The sequence below is a fragment of the Homo sapiens genome, chromosome 18 (assembly GCF_000001405.40).
Source record: "Homo sapiens chromosome 18, GRCh38.p14 Primary Assembly".
Lineage (NCBI taxonomy): Eukaryota > Metazoa > Chordata > Mammalia > Primates > Hominidae > Homo > Homo sapiens.
In genome coordinates, this window is record NC_000018.10 from 43,399,663 (window position 1) to 43,411,815 (window position 12,153).

The window sequence follows — 12,153 nt, forward strand, 5'->3', positions numbered from 1 at the left end:
ACAGATGGTAGTCTTGGTGGAAGCATTCCGTGCAGGATAGGCAAACCCATATCAAGAGTAAGTGTCTATTCCTGTGAGGACAAACCTTTGCCTTTTCCATGATGGAAGAGGTCCAATATAATCAACCTGCCACGAGGTAGCTGTCTGATCACCTCTAGGAATTGTGCTGTATCAAGGGCTCAGTGTTGATCTCTGTATCTGGCAAATTGGACACTCAGCAGTGGCCATAGCCAGGTCAGTTTGGTGAGTGAAAGTCCATGTTGCTGAGCCCATGTGTAACCTCCATCCCTGCCACCATGGCCACTTGGTTCATGGGCCCACTGGGCGATGACAGGGGTGGCTGTGGAAAGAGACTGAGTGTTGTCCACAGAATGGTCCATCCTATCCACTTGATTATTACAATCCTCCTCTGCTGAGGTCACCCTGTTGGCTAGCACTCACATCGGATACAAATGTCTTCAGTTTTTGACCATGCAGAGAGGTTCATCCACATAACTTTTCCCCAAATTTCTTTGTCACCAATTTTCCAATCATGCTTCTTCCATGTCCCTGACCATCCAGCCAAACAATTGGCTACAGCCCACGAATCACTATATAATCACACATCTGGCCATTTCTCTTCCCATGCAAAGTGTACAACCAGGTGTACTGCTCAAAGTTCTGCCCACTGGGAAGATTTCCCTTCACTGCTGTCCTTCAGGGATGTCTTAGAAAGGGGCTGTAGCGCTGCAGCTGTCCAGTTTCAGGTGGTGCCTTCATATCATGCAGAATCATCTATGAACCAGCCCCTAGTCTTCTCTTCCTCTGTCAACTGTTCATAGGGAACTCCTCATGTGCCCATCGGTGTAGGCTGGGGGAGAGAAGGCAGGGTGACCAAAGTGGAGACCATAGATATTTGAGCCACTTCCTCATGTGACTTACTTGTGCCTTCAGGACCTGCTTGAGCCCAATCACATATATACCATTTCCATTTGATGATGGAATGCTGCTGTGTGTGACCCATTTTATGGCTAGATGGGTCAGAAAGCACCAAGTTCATCATAGGCTGCTCAGGTCACATGGTGAATAGATGACCCATAGTCAAACATTCAATTTCCACCAACGCCCAGTAATAGCCCAAGAGCCATCTCTCAAAAAGAGAGTAGTTATCTGCAGAAGACGGCAGGGCCTTGCTCCAAAATCCTAGAGGCCTCCACTGTGATTCACCTATGGGAGCCTGCCAAAGGCTCCACACAGCATCCCTATCTGCCACTGACACCTGAAGCACCATTGGATCTGCTGGGTGGGTCATATGGCCCAAGTGGCAAAGCAGCTTGCACAGCAGCATGGACCTGTTGCAGAGTCTTATGCTGTTCTGGGCCCCACAGAAAACTGACAGCCTTTGAGGTCACTTGATAAATGGGCCAGAGTAACACACCCAGATGAGGAATGTATTGACTCCAAAATCCAAGGAGGTCCACTAGGTCTTGTGCCTCTTTCTCGGTTGTAGGAGGAGCCAAATGGAGTAACTTAGCCTTCACCTCAGAAGGAATATTTCAACAGGCCCCACACCACTGGACCCCTAGAAATTTTACTGAGGTAGAAGGTTCCTGAATTTTAGTCAAATTCATTTCCCATCCTCTGGCACACAAATGTCTCACCAATAAGTCCAGTGTGTTTGCTACTTCTTGCTCACTGGATCTAATCAGAATAATGTCATCCATGTAATTGAGCAGTGTGATATCTTGCAGAAGAAGCAAAAAGTGACCAAGATCTCTCTGAATAAGATTATGACACAAAGCGGGAGAGTTGATATACCCCTGAGGTAGGAGAGTAAAGGTATATTGCTGGCTTTGCCAGCTGAAGGCAAGTTGCTTCTGGTGGGCCTTATGGACAGGAATTACAAAAAAGGCATTTGCCAAGTCAATGGCTGCATACCAGGTACTGGGAAATGTGATAATTTGCTCAAGCAATAAACCACATCTGGTACAGTAACTGCAATTGGAGTCACCACTTTGTTAAGCTTATGATAATCTACTGTCATTCTCCAAGATCCATCTGTCTTCTGCACAGGCCAAATGGGAGAGTTGAATGGGGATGTGGTGGGAATCACCACTACTGCATCTTTCAAGTCCTTGATGGCGGCACTAATCTCCACAATCCCTCCAGGGTTGTGATCGTGTCTTTTATTTGGTATTTTTCTAGGTAGAGGCAGTTCTAATGGCTTCTGTTTGGCCTTTCCCACCATAGTAGCCCTCACCCTACCAGTCTTATACTGGACCCACTGTAAGTTGTACCTGAGCAAAACTCCATTAATTACCTGACCCTTCATAAGTCCCTATTTTAAGTGGAAGACCACAATGACATTTTGGGTCCCCTGAACTCAATGTCAGCTCAGAGCCAGTATCCAGTAGTCCTGAAATGTCTGATCATTTCCCTCTCCCCAGTGCACAGTTATCCTACTAAAAAGCTGGAGTTCCCTTTGGGGAAGTGTGAGAGAAAGATTAAGAGCATAAATTGTCAGTAGTGCAGTGGGGTCCTTCCTCAAGGGGACCCAGCCTCCCCTTCATTCAAGGGGTTCTGGGTATGCAAACTGGTTCAAGTCTCGAAAATGATTGAGGGGCCATGATTTTTCTGTCTTTATAATTCAAATTAGTCTTTTGTCCAGTTTACTGCTTATATAAATTAAGTAGGGTTAAGTAGGAATCTGGTAGGCTTCCTATCAATTTCACTTCTAGAAACACTGTGAGTAATTAGCCAGTGCCAGAGCTCTACATGAGTCAGACTATTCTGATTGATGTTTTGCCTCTGCTGTCCATTACTGTAGCTAAGCACACCTTGCCTTTGATGGTTGGGTGCCACCACTTTGCCCCTGACACCTCGGGATCCAATTGTTCACATTGTATTTAAATTTTGTAGTTGAGTGACTGTGATTCCCTCTGTTAGATCTGACATACAGAGAAGAACAATTACAGGGCTCTTCAAAGATGCAGGTGCTGCCCTCACAAATCTATTTCACAAGGCTTTGGTCAAATGTATGTCTTCTGGACCCTCCCAGCTGGGATAAGTAGGTCTAAAGTGACTAATCCACTCCACCATCCCAATCTCCCTAAGCCTTTGGGTCCCTTCCTCTACATTAAACCAAGGGAGATCAGGCATTTCCAGCTGGCTGTCAGGGAGCCATCTTTTAATCCATATTTCAGCTAACCAAGCAAATAAACTATTAGAACTTTTTAAACTCCCTGAGCTGCAACATTAAATGCAGAGTCCTACTTAGAGGGCCCAAATTAATAAATTCAGTCTGATCCAACTCTGTGTTCCTTCCACCATTATCCCATGCCCTTAATATCCATTCCCATGCCTGTTCTCCCAATTTTTGCTTATATAAATTAGAAAACTCAAGCAGTTATTTTCAAGTGTAGCACACCTCCTCATGAGTCACACTCTCAACCTCACCTCTAGGGGCCTGCTGGGACTTTAATGTAGTAATAGGTCTAGAAACAAACAGGGGTGTTAGCAGAGGCTCCTGGGGAGAATCAACATTATCTTGCCTGGCAACTACCTCAGGGGAGGAGGCCATCACTGTTGCTTAAGGCAGTGCCATGTTTATCTCCTCAGACAAAGGTGGAAAGGCTGATGGCAGCATGGATTGGGGAGGGGATGTTGCCACTACTGGGGATGGGAAGCTGTTTCTTCTGGTAAACACATTTCATCAGAGTTTACAAACTTGGTGTCCCCGGCTTCAACAGGGTCCTCTCACACATCCCCATTCTAAGTTGCAAGGTCCCATTCCATTCCAATCAACAACCTCACTTTAACAGTAGACACCTGGCAAGACTGTGCATGCACCTTTCGTTGCAGGTCACCCGCTCACATGATAAGAGCTTGTGGCTGTTTTTCCACAATTTCAACTCTTTCTTTACAGGAGATAAGACTCACTCAGGGCAATCTTAGCAGATTTGAGGCTCAATATCTGCTTCTGAAGCTGGGAAATATAATCCCTGAGTTCATCATTTTCTTTCATCACTTTGTCCACTGGACTTAGGAACAACCAACCAGCTTCATTATGTTCCTTGGTTCCCCACATATGGTCAAAGGTGTTATGTATAGAGTCACTAAACTTCTTGCCTCTCATAAGAAAGGAATCAGGAGTGTTAAATTCATTTATTCTGCATAACGCTGTAAACAGTTCACACCAAGGATTATCAGTGTTCTCCATACTATTGGAAGTACAGTCCTTAGCATTTTGGAGTTTAATCATATTAATCAACCAACTCCAGAAATTCAAAAGGCAATGAAAGAACTCCATCCTTAATATTCTGTTTCTATAGAACCACTCCTGGTACCAAAATCTGTATTAGTCAGGGTTCTCTAGAGGAACAGATCTAATAGTGTGTGTGTGTGTGTATACACACATATATATATACACACATATATATACATACACATATATATCATTTAAATATATATCCATATATGTGAATGTGTGTGTGTGTGTGTGTGTGTGTATATATATATATATATATATATATATATATATATATATATATATAAAGGGGAGTTTATTAAGTATTAACTCATGTGATCACAAGGTCCCACAATAGGCCATCTGCAAGTTGAGGAGAAAGGAAAGCCAGTCAGAGTCCCAAAACTGAAGAGACTGGAGTCTGATGTTCAAAGGCAGGAAGCACCCAGCACAAGAGAAAGATGTAGGCTGGGAGGGTAGGACAATCTAGTCTTTTCACATTTTTCTGCCTGCTTCATATTCTAGCCACATTGGCAGCTGATTAGATGGTGCCCACCCAGATTAAGGGTGGGTCTGCCTTTCTCAGCCCATTGACTCAAATGTTAATCTTCTTTGGCAACACCCTCAAGACACACCCAGGATCAATCCTTTGCATCCTTCAATCCAATCAAGTTGACACTCAGTATTAACCATCACAACAGCCTAGGAGTGTAAATGGAGAATCCATGACATTACATGGAGGGCTTGTAATTCATGAAGTGTGGGAGAGCTAGCCAGGATGTAAGCTCTACAATCCTGAAATGCAGAGTCTGCTTCTTACCAAAAAGCTGCTTGATACTGGTGAGAAGCTAATGCTTCTTAAATCACCATACTCATGGTGAAGAACAAGTTTATTTATTTTCTCCATCTGTTTTGATGGCTACTTATGAAAAGTGCAATAAAAAACAATATAGAAAAATGAAATGCAAAGACAACGGACCTGCAAAAGGAAATCAAGCATCCATTTTTAATTACTATATTTGCTAGTAACAAATTTAATCTTAAAAAGTGATCCAAATATTACTGCTCACTCTCAATTCCATTGGTCATTGCCAACTGATATCAAACAGTTCCTGAACTGATGTAGGCCCATGGACCTCTGAGGAGCTTTGCTCTTGACCTTCCTGTTTCTGAACCCAATTTCATGGTGTGATGGCTTTGGAAAAAATAAATCAATTCCATGAGAGCAGGGGCTGTTATCACTCTTGCTCAGACTTAAAAGCTATGGAATCAAGTCATCCTCTCTTTTAATCTAGATTCCTAATTTTGTATTTAGCCCCAGATCTTTTACAGTCTGAAGAGGATGCCAGTCCAAAGGCTGTCAGGCATAGTACAACAGGAGGCAAGTGTGTACCACAGCAGTGACAGGAAATGATTCATACAGCAGTTGTAATGTAGGGTAAGAAAAAAAGCAATCCTGTTCAGCTCCTAGAAAATAACAGCACACCCTGCTGCTAACTCATTTTTCTCCCAAGTCTTAGCCTTTAGACTTCTAATATTTGCACTTAGGCTTTATTGTCCCTACACTCACGCTCTCACTCCCACACCACTGCCTCTGCTGTCTACTCAATATTTCAGATCCCTTGCCACACCTCTGTTATTCTTGTAAAATCCCCTTTAGACTTTCGTTTATTCATTCTTTTTTGTTGTTCTTGTTCACCTAGACTAAAATATAGGCATTTTTCCATTGACTACCCTATCTCTTTGGAAGCTTCCATTTCTCTCTTCCTATTGATACCCTCTGAATAAAACATGTTTAAACATCTACCACATTTATAAGTCCCCATCAATCTTATGATTAATTTCATTCTTCCAACCAGATTTGTTCTTCCTTTAGTATATTAGTCTCCTCCTGATAGAGTAGTCTTCACTGTCTTCTCTCTCTCATGTCTCATTTATTCCCTAGCCAATATGCAATTTAACTTTGGTCTGTAATTTTAAACTGAAATTGTAAATATCACCAGTGAGCTTATGAGTTCCCCACATGATGGAACTATGTCATATATTATCTTTCTTGATGTTGATGCTTTGTCTGCCTGTTTGTCTTAATGCCTACATTGTGCTATATCAATGTGTAGTGATTGGTGTCACACTTCCACCAAGTAGAATCTGACTCCATCTTGGATGATGTAGCATGCACATCACAAAAATTAGCTTCTTTATACCATGAACTCTTCAGTTTAGATAATTTCATATTTTTCTTACATTTTTTCTATATCTAACATTTCCAAAAAAGGGACATATCCTTCTAGAAATAATCAAGGCATAAATTTGAAAGTTGTCTCTTGCCTGCCTGGTCTGGTCCCTGCTTGCCTCCCCAGAGCCTGTTTTTCCTATTGTTCACTCTGATCCAATCCCACTGGTCTTCTTGCAGTTCAGGCATGCATCAGGTGCTTTTTCTTCTTTCCTCTGTTTGAAATTGTGTTCCCCTGTAGTTGACCTTTTATCATTATTAGTTTTCTTTTATTTCTTTTCTCTTTTTTTTTTTTTTTTTGAGACAGTGTCTCACTCCGTCACTCAGACTGGAGTGCAGTGGCATGAACTCAGTTCACTGCAACCTCTGCCCCCCCTGGGGTTTAAGCGATTCTCATGCCTCAGACTCCTGAGTAGCTGGGATTACAGTCTTGTGCTACCCTGCCCAGTATTTTTAGTAAAGATGGGCTTTCACCAGGTTGCCCAGACTGGTCTCAAACTCCTAACCTCAAGTGATCTGCCAGTCTTGGCCTCCCAAAGTGCTGGGATTATAGGTGTTAGCCACCTCTCTTGGCCTTATTATGAATTTTCTTTGTAGCATTTATAACTATCTGAAATTATATTACTTTTTACCTATGTGTTGCCTTTAATAACCAGAACATAAGCTCTGCGAGGGAAAGGGTTTGCCTTCTTCATAAGTGAGGGGCCTGAGCCCTGTCTATATTTTCAGAGGTCAATTAATCCAGCCTCCTTATTTGACAGGTGAAGAAGCTATAGTCAACAATAATGAAAGTATTTATGCTAGGTTTTACTCTTGGTAGCAGTGCTAAAAATGATTCCTAGACATTTTTCTACTACAAGTACTTCTACGTATTTCCAGTGAAATATCATTAAAGGCAGGGGGGAGTGAATGTATATACAGGAGGATTTAGAATCAAAGTCCAAAGTAACTCCTGTAGGAAAAAAAAAAAAATTTGAATTTGTCCTAAGAATTAGAGCATATTTGGCGTTTTAGTTCATAATATATCTGCGCTAGATATAATTGAAACATTAATCATTGAGTAATGATTGTTTTCTATTATGATGCATCATATGTATTCTGAAGACACTGGCATTAAATAATCTGCTCTTCAAATCCTGGTTCTCAGATCTACTAACTGTGAATTGAGCAAATTAAATAACCTTAGTATGCCTCAGTTTTCTTGTATTTAAAATGAAGACATTTATGGTTTCTAGTTCAAAAAGTTTTATGAGAATTAAAAGAAATAGCATTTGTGAAACCCTTAGAACAGGTTCCTGACATACAGAAAATGGCCAATAAATGTTAGAGATGATTGTGATCTTTACTGTTGGGGAAACATAACTGTGAAGTAAGGTCTAAAATTAAATCTACAATATTATGTGCAGCCTTGTCATCTAAATCTGGGAAAGGCTTGGATGACCTAACCCCAAGTTCCCTCTGTCTCTGTCCCCCTGGATAAAGTCCCCTAGCCAAATAACCCTCTTTGTCAAGTGATCAGCACAGTCTGGCTGATCTCTGAGGACTGGGTTTCAGTTCTCTGTCACCCCACAGAATTATTCAAACAAGATAAGCACATCCTCCTGTGAGAATCAGCAGTCATCCCACCCTCTTGACCATACAATATCTGTTCCCTACAGTCCATGGTTGTTCACTCTGTTCCCAGGTGCTACTCCTGTGTGGCCTATGTAGTGTCTTCCTCCCCTGGGCTGTGAGTATTCTTCCTCCCCTGGGCTGTGAGTATATGTGACCAATAAACTGTTATCTATCTTATCTGTCCAGTGTCAGATGTCACACATTTGGCCATCCCCATAGCCAGGACTGCCACTCTCACCAAGTGAGTGACTAGCAGGTGATTAAAACGGTAAAAATATACCCCGATTCTGAGAACCTGTCCTCAAGCCCTTTGATCAACTAGTCTGCAATCTCATCTGGCAATGGCATTTCAACCTATATCCAACACAAAAACATGTGCTTCATTGGGCTATCCTGCTTTGCTTCACAGGAGACTTGACAATGCACAGTATTATATATAAATCTAAAACCATCCATATTTCTTCCCTGGAAGTCCTGAAGGGTCTTATCAGAGAAAACAAAACTGCTTATATTAAGACATATTGTCATCTATTTTCTCTACCATATACCACCATGCACTTTATATATAAATAACATCCAACTACTCCTATAATCTTATTTCATGCTTTCAATTTTTGTGATATTATTCTATCTTCTTAGAACAATGTTCTTGCTTTTCTTTGGTTGAATAACTTTGGTCATATTTCAAGAGTCAACACACACATAATTTTTTCTAAAAAAATCTTTCTTGAATTGAAAACTTGGGCCAACATACCTCATTGCTAGCCTTTAATAAACATCATGGATTGACATCTTCTTTCTCCTCGTCTTCTTTCAATGAGAAGCTGTGTCTTATTTAACTCCGGATTCCCAGGGCCCAGCAAAGTTCTCCGAATGACAAACACTACCTGTGGTGAAACTGACCTGATTCACCATTTTCCTCTTTTTGTGGAAGCGCTTCTCATCCACACTACTCTCCACTCTCTATTAGTCCATCACTTCAAGTATATCTAGACTAAGCTCAAACTCAGTCCCACATTTAACTTCAATTCACTCTGTGTCCATATTCTATGTTCAAAAAGAATCAAATCTTTTCTATGAGAAAACACAAGTATAAATACAATGAAAATATTTTAATACACTCTATCATAGAAAAAGAAGCTACTTTTAAGACAATTTATATCAAGACAATGTGGCAAAGTTACTTTATACTTTTTCCAATAGCTTTAAAATAAGATTTGGTATATGAATAGACTCCGCATAGATGTGACATCAGGAATACTGGGAGTCTGTGAATAAATATTTTGATTGACTAATTTCATTTATTCTCATCACCTCTCTACTTGCTTGCCCTGGCCTTGGTAAAACTATTTGGAAAGAGAATCAAACCTCCTAGAATAAAATTAAAAATTGATTTTTAGTAAAGTTTCATGTATTAAATTATACTCAGTATCAGAGAAGTGAATTTTTTTATGTTTTCTCTGGGAATATGACTACTTATAACTGTGTATATTAGTGTGTATATACATGGTGGGTATATATACATATCTATTAGATTTAATGTAAAAAGTCATTGCAACTATTTAAAATAAGTGATGGGTTGAATTATCTGCAGAGGCAAAATAAAATAGCTAATTTCAGAATGAACATTTTCAACTTTTTAGGCCTGACTAACAGTTTAAAAAACAAGAGTTTGGAGACAAATTGGTTTACTAAACAATCAAGAGTTTGGGGTGGTAAGAAGTAGCCAGTCATTTTATTTTGGCAATATTTTTTATTTGCTTCATCTTTCCCCATGAACATGTGGAGTTAGGTATGGCTGATGGGAGTCTTTTTCGACTTCTCAGAAACTCCGTTTCATATCCTCAATCTATCATTTCTAAATGTCCTTTTTTTTAACCTGTCTTCAGATCATTCATGTGTTTCATGAGAATTAGACATTCATTTTCCCCGTTTGAAGAAACACTGTGTTGACTGACACATCCACAGTTTTAAAATAACACGGTTTACATTATTTAGGACATCCTGGTGTATTTGTAGAAAAAGAGAAGCAAAAACTAAGGATGGACTGTATATCCAGTTTTTCCTGAAACTACTCAGTGTTGACGTGTTCCCATGAGAATGTGCATTGTTGTTCAAACTCTAGAAAACCAGTTATTTCCCAGAAGAATTTAATTTTCTATAATCCTACCAAACAGAAACATTTCCTTGCTCTGGAGAATTAAATCATGTAAGACTATTTGTTGTTTTCTTTAAGAGTCACATCTGGAGAATAACTGTCTTTTACCCTCTGACCCTTTTGATAGAGATAATAATCCAAATTCTTTTTTTTTTTTTTTTTTTTTTTTGAGACATGACCTCTGTCTGTGACCTAGACTGGAGTGCAGTGATGCAATCACAGCTTACCACAGCCTCAATCTCCCAAGCTCAAGCAATCTTCTCACCTCAGCCTCCTGAATAGCTGGGACTACAGGTGCATATCACCACACTTGGCTATTTTTTTTATTTTTTATTTTTATTTTTATTTTGTACAGACAGCATCTCTCTATGTTGTACAGGCTAGTCTCAAACTCCTGGGCTCAAGACATCCTACTGCTTCAGCCTCCCAAAGTGTTGGCATTACTTGTGTGAGCCACCATGCCCAGTCTCCAAATTCTTTTCACACAAATTCATTCTGTACAATGACTTCTGATTATTCTTCCAGTAGCATCATGTTTATCATATTTATGTAACAAGCTAAATTAATAAATGATGCAAGGCTGAATAAATTAAGGTCATGAACAACAGTACAGGCTGTCCAGCAGGGCTATGGAGGTACAAAGAAGTAAGAATGACTTTTCACTGCTTTCATGAAGCAAGATTGTACAGAAGACTTTACATGGACATGTAGGGAATATATACATACATACATATGTGTGTGTGTGTGTATATGTATTTATATGTTTTATATATGGACACAGAAATCCCAGGAGAAAATATACAGTTAATCGCCTGTAATCCCAGTGCTTTGGGAGGCCGAGGCGGGCGGATCATGAGGTCAGGAGATCAAGACCACGGTGAAACCCCATCTCTACTAAAAATACAAAAAATTAGCCAGGCGCAGTGGTGGGAGCCTGTAGTCCCAGCTACTTGGGAGGCTGAGGCAGGAGAATGGTGTGAACCCAGGAAGTGGAGCTTGCAGTGAGCCGAGATCACGCCACTGCATTCCAGCCTAGGTGACAGAGCGAGACTCGGTCTCAAAAAAAAAAAAAAAAAAAAAAAAAAAAGAAAAGAAAATATATAGTTAACCAAAAATATTGAGGAGGACAACAACATCTAATTAGGTAAAAGGAAGTTGATAATTTGGTGCTCCGATAGATTTTTTAATCTTTATTGTTGTATAATTAACATTCAATGAATTGTACAACCATAAAGTATACAATTTGATAAGTTTTGATACATGTATACACCTATGAGACATCATCCCCATTAAAATAATAAACATATGCATTGACTCCAAAAGTTTCCTCACACCTCTTTATAATCCATTTCTTCCCCAGTCCCCAGCCAATCAGTTGTACGCTTTCTGGAACTATAGATTAGTTTGCATTTTCTAAAATTTTATACAGATAGAATCATACTTTCTGTGGTCTGGCTTTTTTCATCTATCATAATGACTTTTAGATTCATTTTTTGTTCATGCATCCAGTGGCATGATTATAAATATTTAACCACCAGCTCTCTGGTGGCAGTGTTGGTAGGGGTGGGTGTGAGCGATCTGTAGCATTTGTTGATTTTCATGGTGCAAAGATTCCCATCATGATGGATTTTAAGCTACCAACATGATGTCTCTGAACTCACAGTAGGAAAGAAATGCACACAATCACATCTTGTGAGCTAGTTCTAGCCAAATCCAGCTCATCACTATATGTGTCATTGTTTCATTCCTTGTTATTATTGAATAGTATTTTATTGTGTGGTTTTACCATAATTTGTTTATCTATTTACCTGTTAATGAACAATTAGATTGCTTCTGGTTTCAGGATATTCCAAATATGTAGAGATGTTGTGAATATTCTTGCTCAAATCTTAGTTTGGACATATGCTTTCATTTCTCTTAGAC